Source organism: Homo sapiens, chromosome 1 (genome assembly GCF_000001405.40).
Source record: "Homo sapiens chromosome 1, GRCh38.p14 Primary Assembly".
Classification (NCBI taxonomy): domain Eukaryota; kingdom Metazoa; phylum Chordata; class Mammalia; order Primates; family Hominidae; genus Homo; species Homo sapiens.
Window position 1 is genome coordinate 160,794,843 of NC_000001.11, and position 14,803 is coordinate 160,809,645.

The 14,803-nt window shown below is 42.3% G+C and overlaps 1 protein-coding gene across 17 annotated transcripts in view, besides 1 other annotated feature; it reads left to right on the forward strand.

Annotated features, from left to right (window-relative positions):
- Nucleotides 1-1,331: 1,331 nt before the first annotated feature.
- LY9 (lymphocyte antigen 9) overlaps nt 1,332-14,803 on the forward strand; it is a 32,082-nt gene continuing 18,610 nt past the window's right edge. For 9 of the 17 annotated variants that reach the window (XM_017001301.2, XM_047420753.1, NM_002348.4 and 6 more), the window contains exons 1-2: nt 1,332-1,469; nt 4,911-5,240. In XM_017001301.2, the coding sequence (XP_016856790.1) occupies nt 1,346-1,469; nt 4,911-5,240 (454 nt within the window). In that variant the 5' untranslated portion in view covers nt 1,332-1,345. Of the gene's footprint in view, nt 1,470-2,267; nt 2,434-4,843; nt 5,241-6,947; nt 7,905-14,803 lie in introns of those variants that run through there. The other 8 variants (XM_011509549.2, XM_017001299.2, XM_011509556.2 and 5 more) reach the window with 4 other exon arrangements.
- Nucleotides 6,929-7,178: a silencer, noted in NCBI's record as "fragment chr1:160771561-160771810 (GRCh37/hg19 assembly coordinates)". NCBI's record gives its function as "represses an EF-1alpha promoter that drives an FKBP-Casp9 reporter gene in an ReSE screen in HepG2 liver carcinoma cells {active_cell/tissue: HepG2}" and the evidence as "EXISTENCE:reporter gene assay evidence [ECO:0000049][PMID:32094911]".

Consider the following 14,803-nt stretch of genomic DNA (forward strand, 5'->3'; position numbering starts at 1 on the left):
GAAGATGGACTAGCACTCTGTAAGCTTTCATCGAATATTAGCTAAAACTACACATTCTGCCAGCCTCAAGTTTTCCTGCCAAGTCCCCTTAATGTTACAGCCTAAGTAAACAAATGACCTGAAGCCCGAAACACAAACCATAGCATGGCCAGCTATTACGCTACTGACAAGAAGAAGGAGGAGAAAAAGACAGTTTCCCAAGTCAGGATATAGGGAATCATGCCATTCTCCAGCCTACCTTTTCAACTCAGTCACCTCTACGCTGTCACATACGATGTCCACCCCCATTGCAGTCTCCCTGATGCCTTTGTCCATATTAAAAGTCCTTCATTGCATGTGACAGAAAGCTAGCACAAACTGCCTTGAGCAAAATAGAAAATGTATTGGGTCACTGTATTAGTTATCTGTTGCTGTGTAACAAATTGCCCCAAACTTCACAGCTAAAAACAATAAGCATTTTTGATGAAAAATAAAAAATTGAAAAAAAATTTAAAAACCAAACATTTATTATCTCACAGTTTCTCTTGATAAGGAATCTGGGCATGGCTTAGCTGGGTGCCTCTGGCTTAAGGTACTCACACAACTAACATCACGGTGTCAGCCAGGGCTGCAGTCATTTCAAGGACCTCCTGGGGAGGATCCACTTCCAGTCTCACTCATGTGATTCTTGGCTAGCCTCAGTCCTCATGGACAGTTGGCCAGAGGAATCAGCTCCTCGCCGATTGTTGGCTGGGGGCCTCCCTCTGTTCTTTGTTTTGGAACCCTCTCCCTAAAGTATCTCACAAAACAATACCTGGCTCCCCTCAGTGTAAGGTAGGGAGACAGAGATAGTGGGAAAGACAGAGAGGGAGAGAGGGCAAGAGAAAGAGAGAGCGCATATGCACACACATGCTAACCCAAGATGGAAGTCACAGCTTTTTTGTAACCTAATCTCAGAAGTGACCCATCCCACATCTCTGCCACATTCTATTCACTTGAAGCAAGTCACTAAATCCAGGCCACACTAAAGAAGAGGTGATTACACAGAGGCATGAATGCCAGGAGGTACAGATCTTTAGCAGTCACCTTTAGGAGCCAAATTTAGAACCCAAGTCCCTTGATGTCAAAGCAAGTGATGCTCCACATCAGTCACAAATGAGGCCCTGAATAGACTTGGGACCTCTACCTGCCTGCGCAGATGGGAGGAGTCTGTGGTGTTTTGTATAAACAACCCTCCCTCTGAGACACACACACATACACATACACATGCACACACACACTCATATACACATGCAGAAGCTGTGACACGTGCGGAAGCTGTGGTAAGTGCATCCTCCTTCAGTCTCAGTTCTGAAAATAGATCATCATGGTGGCACCAAAGAGTCACACAGATGACTGGGCTCCTGGGCCTTTCTCCAGTAAGCCACAGAGGAGTCAGCTGCAAATATTCTCTTCTGTTCTACAGACCTCTCTCCTCTTCCTGCTCATGGGTAAGTCCACTTTATGGCCACCACTTCTTGCTACTGCGGTTCTTCTGAGGCCAGTTGCATTCCCTGCCTGGGAGATTCTTTTTTTTGTTTTTTGTTTTTTTTAACGGAGTCTCACTCTGTTGCCAGGCTGGAGTGAAGTGGCGCAATCTCGGCTCACTGCAACCTCCACCTCCTGGGTTCAAGCGATTCTCCTACCTCAGCCTCTTGAGTAGCTGGGATTACAGGTGCATGCCAACACACCCAGCTAATCTTTGTATTTTTAGTAGGGGCAGGGTTTCACTATGTTGGCCACGGTGGTCTCGATCTCTTGACCTCGTGATCTGCCCAGCTCAGCCACCTGAAGTGCTGGGATTACAGGCGTGAGCCCAGTTCTTGTTGGTAAAATCGGGAAACTCATCTCCTTGCCAGAAATTACTTTGCATGTGTGCATATTCGTGCACTATGAAGGGGGTAACATTCTAGCCCCGGTCTCAAATAGCTCTGGGCTCAAACTACATTTCTCTTGCCCTCACATTTTCCTAAGAAATGCCAAGTATATAATGAGTTTGTTCCCTGTATGGTGTGGATAAAACCCACAGAGGGATCCAGGAAAATCCCCTGATGAGAAGCCACCTAGCAATTTCCTAGGGATGGAGAGAACTTCTGGAGCTTCTTTCTATGTATCCTGCCTTGGTTATCATATATGCTGGCTTTATTACTGAGGTTTCACTGGGGACCTGGACGCGGTTAGGTGACCATGGGCAAGGTGGCGTTTATCTGGATATCCTTTTCTCCTCAACCTTATTCCTCCCTATCAAGGCCCAACTCCTGGGAAACATCTCTCCGCTGCATGGCCCGGAACCCCACTGTCCAGCAGATAGAGCCAATCCAGTACCCCAGAGAGGATCTCAGCCACCTGGGACTGTGGCAGCTACTGTCCTTCTGTGCTCCCGCTTTCTCCAGGGCTTCAGGGATGATGGTGCAGGTAGCACTAGAGATCTGAGAGCAGTGGGGGTTGGCAGTTGGTGCCTGAAGGGAGCTTTAGAAACACTCCTAGATGCAGATATGGGTGAACGAGGAGCCTAGACCTCAGAGCTGAGGTCCAGTCTGACCTCTTTTCACTTTCAATTTTATCTTGGCTCATCAAAACACACAGAAAGCAGCAAGGCTGTTTATGTTTACCTCCAACCTTTGGGGTGTTCCTTGATTGTGTTGAGCAAACCTGAAATAAGCTACATTCAAGGTCATCCAAGCCGCAAATGATCAATGCAGTGAATTTCAAACAGTTCAGAGCAAAGAGGCATCTCCATTGGTCTGGCTCCACTGATTAGGATGACCTCAAATCTCACTCTTTTGGTCTGAAAGGATGATGCTTTTGTATCTCCAAAGAGTCATTTCAGGAACTTAAAAGGCAGTCGAGTGAAAAGACCCCTCTCACTTTAGTATCAGGAACATCTGAAATTAAATCATTGCTCCATCATTTATTAGTGATGAGGGCCTCTATTTCTTAAGTGTAAAATATAGTTAGTAGGATGCATCATGCAACACTCTTACAGATTGTAGATGATCTATACACACACACACACACACACACACACACGTATAGTGGCACATAGTTGGCAGAAGCTATGATTGTTATTATTATAATTACTGTTACGTGCATTCTTTGGAAACTATTAAGAGACAGGTGAGTCAAATTCAGTTTTGCAATCTTTGAATGCTCTTTTATTATTTGTCCTACGGTGCAATTCAAAATAAAATGACTGGTACTGGGGACCTGTCATTGTACTGGGAGCTGCATTGCACTGTCTTCTGCAACAAGATTTGCCCTGTGAGGCCCACATCCTGCCCCCTCCACTGAGAGTCTGTGAGGCTTTTGTTTATGGTTTTTGTCTGATGTAAGAAAATTTGAAGTCAAAACGAGTCATATGCACCCAGTCAAGACCCAGCAGCTCCTGGGCTTCCAGGATACAGATGGGCAGTACTCCTGGCCTCCCTACTCCAGGGGCATCATGGACATAGGATCTGGACTCTGTGACTGATCAACCCTGTAATCTCAGGGAAGTGGATTAAATTCTCTAAATTTCAGCTCCTCATCTGTAAAAAGGGGCTAATTATAGTATAGTTATGAGAATTAAATGAGATAATTTACATAAAGTACCTAATGCACACATAGCAATCGTAAGCAGTCTCTTCCAGATGGGAAGAGCTCTCTTTTAGAAAACCTCAAACCAACCTCACATCAACTCAGCCTGAATCTGCCTAAAGAATCCACCTGACCCAACCTTCTCATGTCCAGGATCCCTAGCCCTGCATGCTCCATAGCTGCCTCTCCACAAGGTGCAAGTGCTTGGCTGATGGAGGTCTAAGCAGAGAACCCCCATGACCTGCACCAAGCAGCCTCTCTCCTTCCAGTGTCTGCATATTCTGTATCCTCTGGGTTTTCAGAGCTTGCTTCAGCTTTCTTCCGCCCCTCCAGGCTATGCTTATGCTCCTTTTTTGTCTCTAACATTTTCTACTTATTTTCCCACCCAGAATTCCTGGTGGAGTCTGGGTCCCAAACCCATCTGTTTTGGTCTAGAATTTCAAAAGTGCTCTCCAGAGCCTCGGAAGCCCTGGAATCTGGGAATCCAAGCTAGGGTCACCCAGAAGACACCCACAGGGTCCCTACAAGAAAATTAACTGCCTTGGCCAAATACCAGCTTCCTAGATGCCTTGGTAACAATGTTTATCAGGAATATGATCTTGCCTAAGATGAGGAAATCAGGAACTGTATTAGTACCACCAGCTATTCCCACCCCCAAACCTGGCCAAACCAAAGTCAATCTGAGATGCCATGGACAATAAGGGTGAGGTAGAGGTAGGAGAAGCTCCTTTAGTTCCCGACACTGCTATGAGAGTTCTCAAACATTCAGAAAAGTTGGAGCATTTACCCTGAACATTCATAGGCCTACTACCTAGATTCTAACACAAACGTTTTACTTTGCTTGCTTTATCACTCGCCTGCCCATCTAACCATCCCTCTACCCACCCATATTTTTAAAAATATGCTCCTTTTTACTTCATTGGCTCTTCACAATTTGCAGCAACCTGCTTTCATTTCATTTTTACCATATCCCTTGAAGAAAATGGTGCAGGTATGAGCATTTCAATCTTTTAGATAAGATTCACTGAAAAATTCAGAAATGTACCCAAAGTCACAAGGCTAATTCCTCTACTGGAACAGAAACCCAGAAGATCTGTTTCACAGATTGTTGTGGCTGCTTTTAAGGGAGACAGTGTTTGGGGAATGGAGGAATTAATGACTGTGCTAGGCAATTGACCTAGAAGAAGGAGGACAAGAATCTCATTTCATTTCTCAGCATCTGACATTTATGCCCAATGTATATTCACAGAGTGAAAGAAAGAAGGCTAGCTCAAGGAGTCTAGCTGCTCCTCCAAGTCCCTCTTCTATCTCTGCAGGACTAAGAGCCTCTGGAAAGGACTCAGCCCCAACAGTGGTGTCAGGGATCCTAGGGGGTTCCGTGACTCTCCCCCTAAACATCTCAGTAGACACAGAGATTGAGAACGTCATCTGGATTGGTCCCAAAAATGCTCTTGCTTTCGCACGTCCCAAAGAAAATGTAACCATTATGGTCAAAAGCTACCTGGGCCGACTAGACATCACCAAGTGGAGTTACTCCCTGTGCATCAGCAATCTGACTCTGAATGATGCAGGATCCTACAAAGCCCAGATAAACCAAAGGAATTTTGAAGTCACCACTGAGGAGGAATTCACCCTGTTCGTCTATGGTGAGTTCCAGAGAGCTTCTGTGTTTTGATCTTTTCTTTTTTTTATTTGTGCAAATTTATGGGGTATGTGTGAAATTTTGTTATATGTATATAGTGCATACTGATCAAGTCAGAGTTTTCAGTGTGTCTGCTGCCTGAGTACAATATATTCCTGTTAAGTATAGTCACCCTACTCTGCTATCAAAAATTGAATTGATTTTCTCTATCTTACTGTATGTTTGTACCCTTTAACCCACTTCTCTTCATCATCCCCCCACCACCCACTCCCCACACTCACCCTTCTCAGTCTCTGCTATCTATCTTTCCACCATCCACTTCCACATGATCAAAATTTTTAGTACCAACATATAAGTGAGAACATGCGATATGTGTCTTTTTGTGCCTAGCTTATTTAACTTAAGATAATGACCTCCAGTTTCAGCCACATTGCTGCAAAAGACATGATTTCATTCTTTTTTATGGATTTTTAAATTGTTTAAATATATTTAGGGGGTACAAGTGTAGATTTATTGCATGCACATATTGCATGCTGGGGAAGTCTGGGCTTTTAGTGCACCCATCACCCAAAGAGTGACCATTGTACTCAATAGATAATTTTTCAGCCCTCACTCCTCTCCCACCCTCCTACCTCTTGTAGGCTCCGCTATCCATTATTCCTACTCTGTATGTCCATGTGTACCCATTGCTTCCACTTATAGGTGAGAACGTGTGGTATTTTACTTTCTGTTTCTGAGTTATTTCAGCTAGGATAATGGCCTCCAGTTTCATCCATGGTGCTGCAAAAGACATGACTTCATTCTTTTGTGGCTGATTAGTATTCCATGATGTGTATAAATACATGTATGTATGTGTATACTGCATTTTCTTTATCCATTCTTCCGCTAAGGGACACAGATTAATTCTATATCTTTGCTATTGAGAATAGTGCTGCAATAAACATACAAATGCAGGTATTCCTTGCATATATCAATTTCTTTTCTTTTCCTTTGGGTAGATATCCAGTAGTGGTATTACTGGATCAAATGCTAATTAAATGTTTAGTTTTTTGAGAAATCTTCATATTGTTTTGCATAGTGGCTGTACTGGTTTCCATCCCCACCAAGAGTGTCTAAGATTTCCCCTTTTCTCCACATCCTGCCAACATGTGGTTAGTGTTTAAATAACAGCCATTCTGACTGGAGTGAGATAATATCTCATTGTGATTTTGATTTGTATTTCTCAGATAATTGGTGATATTGAGCATTTTTAATATATCTGTTGGTCATGTGTATGTCTTCTTTTGAGAAATGTCTGTATCCTTTGCCCACTTTTTAATAGAATTATTCGTTTTTTCTTGTTGAGTTATTTGAGTTCCTTGTATGTTCTGGATATTACTTCCCTGTCAGATGAATAGTTTACAAATATATCTGCCATTCAACTCGTTGTCTCTTCACTCTGTTGATTATTTCTTTTGCTGTGCAAAAGCTTGTTAGTTTAAATCCCGTTTGTCTATTTTTGTTTTTGTTACCTGTGCTTTTGAGGTCTTAGTCATAAATTTATTTGTCCAGACCAATGTCCAGGAGAGTTTTCCCTAGGTTTTCTTCTAGTATTTTTATAGTTTCAGGTCTTACATTCAAGTCTTTTAACTGATTTTGAGGAGGTTTTTTATATGATGAGAAATAGGGGTTCAACTTCATTCTTCTGCATGTGACTATTCAATTTTCCCAGCACCATTTATTGAAAAGTTGTCCGTCCACGTCATCGAGGGTGACCACCGCACACTCCTGGAGGGCAGCGGCCTGGAGTCCATCATCAGCACCCTGGCTGAGCCACGTGTGAGCGTGCGGGAGGGCTAGGCCCTCGCCCCCACCTGCCACTGGAGACCGCTCCGCCATCCCCACCTCACCGCCGCGCAGCAGAGCTGGAAGGGTCCTGCCGATGGGACCCTGCCAGGCCCAGTGCCACTGCCCCCCGAGGCTGCTAGACGTGGGCGTTAGGCGTGTCCCACCCACCCGCCGCCTCCCATGGCACGTCGGGAACACCGGAGCCGCCAACTTGGAGACTCCTGGTCTGTGAAGAGCCGCTGACGCCCGCAGGAACCGGGCTGGGCCTTGTGTGCCAGTGGGGTTTGTGCTTGGTCTTTCTCCGCTTGGATTTGCTTATTTATTGCATTGCTGGTAGAGACTCCCAAGCCTGTCCACCCTGCAAAGACTCCTCGGGCAGCATGCGGGTCCCGCACACTGCACCCATTTCCTGGATGTCCCCTGCAGGCGCGGGAGGCCATCCGGGCCTGCTGGCTGCGGCCCCCTCTCAGCCAGGCCTGGCTCAGCCCACTGCGTGGGAGGTCACCGGCCACTCCCCGAGGAGCTGGGATCCCCGGGATGCAGGCCCACAGTGCGGGGCTGCACCCATGATGCGGAGCTGGCCTCCAACCCTGCGGGCCGCGCCAGGCACCAACTCAGTGTTTGTCAGTGTTTGTTTTTCCAAGAAATGGTTCAAATTGCTGCTCAGATTTTTAAATTTACTGTAGCTGCCAGTGTACACGTGTGGACCCCATTTTATTTTTACACCAATTTGGTGAAAATGCTGCTTTCCTCAGCCTCCCCACAATTAAACTGCACATGGTCTCTAAAAAAATAAAAATAAATAAATAAATAAATAAATAAAAAGTATCTTTTCTCCCCAGTGTAAGTTTTTGTTGGATTTGTCAAAGGTCAATTGGCTATAAACCTGTGGCTTTATTTCTGTGTTCTCTATTCTGTTCCATTGGTCTATGTGTCTATTTTTATAACACCATGCTGTTTTGGTTGCTATAGCCATATACAGTATACTGAAGTCGAGTAATGTGATGCCTCTAGCTTTGTTCTTTTTGCTTAGCATTGCTATGACTATTCATGGTCTTTTGTGCTTCCGTATATATTTTAGGATTTTTTTTTCTGGCCAGGCACAGTGATTCATGCCCGTAATCCCAACACTTTGGGAGGCTGAGGCAGGCAGATCTCTTGAGGTCAGGAGTTCGAGACCAGACTGGCTAACATGGTGAAACCCCGTCTATACTAAAAATACAAAAATTAGACAGGGGTGGTGATGGGCACCTGTAATCCCAGCTACTCGGAAGTCTGAGGCGGGAGAATCACTTTAATCTGGGAGGCAGAGGTTGCAGTGAGCCAAGATCACGCCACTGAATGCCAGCCTGGGTGACAAAGTGAAAACCGTGTCTAAAAAAAAATTTTTTTTTTTAAAAAGTATTGTTTTTCTAATCTGAGAAGAATAAGGTTGGTATTTTGATACTGATTGCCTTGAATCTGTAGATTCTTTGGGCAATATGGTCATTTTAACAATATTGATTCTTCTGGTCCATGAGCATGGGATATTTCTCCATTTGTTTGTGTCATCTATGATTTTTTCATCAGTGTTTTGTAGTTTGCCTTGTAGAGATCTTTCACCTCCTTGGTTATACTTGTTCCTAGGGTTTTTTAATAGCTATTATAAACCGGATTCACTTCTTTATTTCTTTCTTGATTAAATAATTATTGGTGTATAGAAATGCTACTGATTTTTGTACACTGATTTCTATCCTGCAACTTTAATGAATTCATTTATCAAATCTAAGAGTTTTTTGGTGGAGTCTTTAGGTTTCTCTAGTTATAAGATCATATCCTCAGGCTAAGCGTGGTGGCTCACACCTGTAATCCTAGCACTTTGGGAGACCAAGGCAGGTGGATTGCTTGAGCTCGGAAGTTCAAGACCAGCCTGAGCAACATGGCAAAACCCCATCTCTACAAAAAAATACAAAAATTAGCTGGGCATGGTGGCATGTGCCTGTAGTATCAGCTACTCTGGAGGCTGAGGTGGGAGGATTGCTTGAATCCCAGGAGGCTGAGGCTGCAGTGAGTCATGACTATACCACTGCACTACAGCCTGGGTGAAAAAATGAGACCCTGTCTCAAAAAAAAAATTACATCATCAGCAAAGAGGAACAATTTGTCTTTCTCTTTTACACTTTGAATGTTTTTTATTTCTTTATTTTGCCTAATTTCTCTGAGTAGAACTTTCAGTACTATGTTGAATAAAAGTAGTGAAAGTGGGTATCCTTATCTTGTTCGAGTTCTCAGAAGAAAGGCTTTCAGCTTTTCCCCATTTGGTACAATGCTAATTGTGGAATTGTCATATATGGGCTTTACTATTTTGAGGTATATTCCTTCTATGCCTAGTTTGTTGAGAAATTTTTTCAGGAAGGGATTTGGACTGTATCAAGTGCTCTTTCTATAACCATTGAGATGATCATATGGTTTTTATCCTTCAGTCTATTGATGTGATGTATCACATTTATTGATTTACATACGTTAAACCATCCTTGCATCCCTGGGATAAATCCCACTTGATCATGTATTATCTTTTTGATATGCTGTTGGATTCTGTTTGCTAGTATTTTGCTGAGGATTGTTGCATCTATGTTCATCAGGAATATTGGCCTGTAGTTTTCTTTTTGTTGTTGTGTCCTTGTCTGATTTTGGTATTAGCATAATGCTGGCCTCATCGAATGAGTTAAGGAAAATTCCCCCCACTTTGATTTTTAAGAATAGTTTTAGGAGGATTGATATTAGTTATTATTTGTATATTTGGTAGAATTTGGCTGTGACTCCATCAGTCTCGGGCTTTTCTCTGTTGGGAGACTTTTTTATTACAGATTAATTTCACTACTTGTCGTTGGTGTCTGTTCAGATTTTCTATTTTTTACTGATTCAGTCTTGGTAGGTTGTATGTTTCTAGGAATTTATCCATTTTCTCTAGGCTTTTCAGTTTGTCAGAGTATAGTTGTTCATAATAGTCTCTGACGGTCTTTTGGATTTTGGTCTTTTGTATTCCTGTAATGTCAGTTGTAATGTCTCCACTTTTTCTGATTTTGTTTATTTGGGTCTTCTTTCTTCTTTTCTTAATTAGCCTAGCTAGCAGGTTATTAATTTTGTCTGTCTTTTCAAAGAGCTAACTTTTTCTTTCATTGATTCTTTGCATTTTTTTAGTCCCTACTTCATCGAGTTTTGCTCTGATATTTATTATTTCTTTTCTTCTACTAATTTTGGGCTTAGTTTGTTCTTGCTTTTCTAGCTCCTTAAAGTTCATTGTTACATTATTAATTTGTGATCTTTATACATTTTTCATGTAGGCATTTATTTCTATAAACTTCCCTCAGCACTGCTTTTGCTGTACTCCATAGCTTTTGGTATGTTGTGTTTTTTTTTTCATTTGTTTCAAGAACTTTTTTTAAATTTCCATCTTAATTTCTTTGTTGACCCAATGGTCAGGAGCATGTTGTTTAATTTCCATGTATTTGTATCATTTCCAAAGTTCCTGTTAATATTGATTTCTAGTTTTATTCCATTGGGATTGAAAAGATATTTGATATGATTTCAATTTTTTAAAATTTGTTGAGACTTGTACTGTGGTCTAACAAATAGTTTATCCTGGAGAATGCTTCATCTACTAATGAAAAGAATGTATATTCTGCAACTGTTGGATAGAATGTTCTGTAAATATCTGTTAGGTCCATTTGGTCCAAACTCCAATTTAAATCCAATGTTTCTTTGTTGATTTTCCATCTAGAAGCTCTGTCTAATGCTGAGAGTGGAGTGCTGAAGTCCTCCACTACTATTCTGTTGCAGTCTCTCTCTCTCTGTCTCACACACACACACACACACACACACACACACACACACACACTCTTACTCTCACTCTCTCTCTGGTAATATTTGCTTTATGAATTTGGGTGCTCCAGTGTTGGGTGCATATACATTTAGAGTTGTTATATCCTCTTGCTGGATTGATCCCTTCATCATTACATAATGGCATTCTTTGTCTTTTTTTTTTTTTTTTTTTTTTACTGTTTTTGACTTAAAGTTTGTTTATTTGATATAAATATAGCTAGCTATTCCTGCTTGCTTTTGGTTTCCATTTGCATGGAATTGTTTTTCCATTTCTTTACTTGTAGTCTATATATCTTTACTGTTAAGGTGAATTTTCATGTAATTAACATATAGATGGATCATGTTTTTAAATCCATTCCACCATTCTACATCTTTTAAATGGATAATTTAATCCATTTACATTCAGAGTTACTATTGATATGTGAAGCTTTTTCCTGTATACTGTTAATTATTTTCTGGTTGTCTCATATATTCTTTGTTTCTTTCTCTCTTATTGTTTGTCACTGTGGTTTGGTGGGTATCTGTAGTGACATCATTCAAGTCCTTTCTCTTCACCCTTTGTGTGATTGCTTTACAAATGAGTTTTATACTTCTGTGTGTTTCCATCATGGTAAATGTCATCTTTTGCTTCTGGGTTTAGGATTCCCTTGAGCATTTCTTGTAAGACCCCATCTAGTGGTAACAAATTCTCTCAGCATTTGCTTGTCTGGGAAACGCTATTTCTCCTTTTTTATGAAGAATAATTTTCCCAGATATAGTATTTTTGGTTGACTCTTTGAATATATTATTCCATTTTCTTCTGGCCTGCAAAGTTTCTGCTGAGGAATCCACCATTAGCCTGCTGGGCTTTCATTTATAGGTGGCTAGATGTTTTTCTCTTACTGTTTTTATGATTTACTCTTTGACTTTAGATAGTTTGACTGTGATGTGTCATGGAGATCTTTTTGCATTGTATTTTCCTGGGAATTGCTGAGCCTCCTGTATCTGGATGTCTAAGAGTCTTGCTAGACTTGGGGAGTTTTCTGCTATTGTTTCATTAAATACATTTTCTAATCAGCTCTTTGTCTCTTTGCCCTCAGGGATGAAATAATTTGAATATTTTATCACTTTATGAAGTCCCAAATGTAACAAAGGTTTAGCTCATTCTTTTTTATTCTTTTTATTTATTTATTTTTTGTTTGGCTGAATTATTTCAAAAGACCTGTCTTCAAGTTGTGAGATTCTTTCTTCAGCCTAATCTAGTTTATTGTTGAAGCTTTCAAGTATATTTTGTATTTCCTTCAGTGAAATCTTCAATTCCAGAATTCTATTCATTCTGTTTTTTAAATATCTATCTCTTTGGTTAATTTGTCATTCATATCCAAAATTGTTTTTCTGATTTCTTTGTATTGTTTTTCAGAATTCTCTTGTATCTCACTGAGCTTCTTCTTATTTTTTTAAGTTACTTTCATGGGGAGGTCTTTTTCCTGAATATGTGTCTATTGTGTTGTTGGGGTAGGGCACTCTGGCTTTGATTCTGGGTGCATGCAGTAGTATAGTATTTGTATGATTTATTTGGCTGTAAATAACATTAGTGGTATCTGTGATTTCCTCAGTAGGTCAGAGTGTGTTTATTAGCAGAGGCTGTGGTGAAGTTGCGCTGAGGATTGAAATGTCAAGTGGGCCAGTCATCAGGCCACAGTGGTGGCAGCATACCTATCTTTGTGCCTCAAGGCAGTGTATGCTGTCACTTGTGTTTATGCTTATCAGCAGGTCGATTTTTAGGTCTCCAGGTGGCTTGCTCAGATACCGATAATGGCAGCAGTGGACTGAAGGGTGGTGAGCAGGCTCTCAGGCCCCCTGGCAGTCAGTGTGGCATGGGGAATGACAGTAGTGGGATGATTCTCTGGGTCCCAAGCAGTGTGCATTGATGTTGATGGTGGCTGCAATGGCCTGGGCAGACCAGTCTCCAGGACCACAGGTGGCACTTGCAGGTAGGTGGTAGTGGCTGGGAGTTAGGCCCACCCTAGGCCCCTGTGGAAAAATGCTCAGGTGCCCAAGGCAGTGGATTGGGTTGGGCAATCCCCAAGATGCTGGCCTATGTGTTCTCTTTCCAAGGGGGAAGGGGGAAGCCAGGCTGAGTGGGCTTGCACTCAGGCCCCCCAGTGGTGAAAGCAAACACCAGCTATGGTATGTGGAAGCAGGGCCATCCTCAGGCCCCAGGCAGAGTGCTCAGGTGAGGACAGTAGCCGCCACCGTGAGGCCCTGCCACTGGAGAAGGTGAGGCCAGGTTCAGTGGCCACAGCCTTGGATGGCAGATGGGGAATATGCATCCCTCTCAGCCTCAGTCCTAGGAGGGCTTCCCCCAAGCCAGCACTAGCTGCAGGAGCTTTTGCCCAGCTTGCAACCAAGTTGCAGCAGCAGCTCACAGCCCACTACTTTACCCAGTCTCAGTCACAGCAGCATTCACTTCCTAGGACCAGAAACTGCAGCCCACACCTCTCTTGCTACTTAGCTCTACCTGCAGAGTGCTCCCAATCCATACTCTAGTCTTGGCAGCAACAGTTTTAGTTTTCCTAACACCTCAGACCCAGCACTGTTGGGCCCCAGGACAGCGTGCATTCTGCCAAAGGCTCAGTTTGAAAATGGTCCCTTACTATAACTGCAGAGGTCTCAGAAAGAGTATGGAACCCAGCAGGAGCTCCCTCCCTGGAGCAGTTCCGCCCCACAGTCTCCCAGCAGCTCCCTATGGTAGTTTCAGGGATTGGGAGGGTCAAAGGGGTCTCATGTGGCCAGGACTGCATGATTCTGCAGTGGGATGTGGGCCACTGGAGGTCTCTCGCTCACCTCTATTGGGAAATCACTCCCAGCTCCCAGCAGATCTCAGCCAGGGAGGCTGTCTCTGTTCCTTCTCCTTCCCTGCTTTTAGTGTTTCCTGTCACATCTCTGTTGAATTCCAGCATTCTCCCTTGGAAAATGTATTTGAAATATGACTGTTTGTATACTACTTTTGTTCTTCTAAGTAGAGGAGGTAGGCATTAAATGCTTCTAGTCAGCCATTTCGAAGCCCCTTCTCTTGATCTTTTATTTTTAAAAACAGACATTCTTTTTCTCCAGGAATTTCTCTCTCTAGGATAAATATGACTACTATATTGATCGTTTTTCACCTAATTCCATATACACAGATGTCAAAATTAGAAGACACACCCGTAAATTCCTTACATGTTATATAATCGCCATAATTCATGTAACGGGTCTCCTACTTGTAGAAATATTGTTTCTGCTTATAGAAATATTGTTTCCAATATTTCCTCTTATAAACAATGCTGCAATGAATATTCTTGTGCACCTATCTTTTCACGCTTATGTGACTAGGTTATATTCTGATGGATAAATCTAGAATATATATATGGGGTCAAATTACTGAATCTAATGGTATATGCATTCTTTTTTTTTTTGAGACATCATCCCACTACATCACCTAGGCTTGCCTCCAATTCCTGGGCTCAAGTGATCCTCCTGCCTCTATCTTCCAAGTAGCTGGGACTACAGGTACTTGCCACCATGCCCAGCTTTTAAATCCTGAATTTATTATTATTATTATTATTATTATTATTACTACTACTATTACCAGTATTTCATAGAGACATAGTCTCATTTTGTTGTCCAGGCTAGTCGCAAACTCCTGGACTCAAGCTGTCCCCTTCCCTCAACCTCCCAAGTAGCTGGGACTACAGGCATGTGCCACCATGCCTGGCTTTAAAATCCTCAATTTTTATTTATTATTATTTTATTTTGTAGAGACTGGTTCTCACTATGTTGCCCAGGCTGATTCCAAACTCCTGGCCTCAAACAATCCTTCCACCTCAGCCTCCAAAGAAGCTGGTATTACAGGCACCA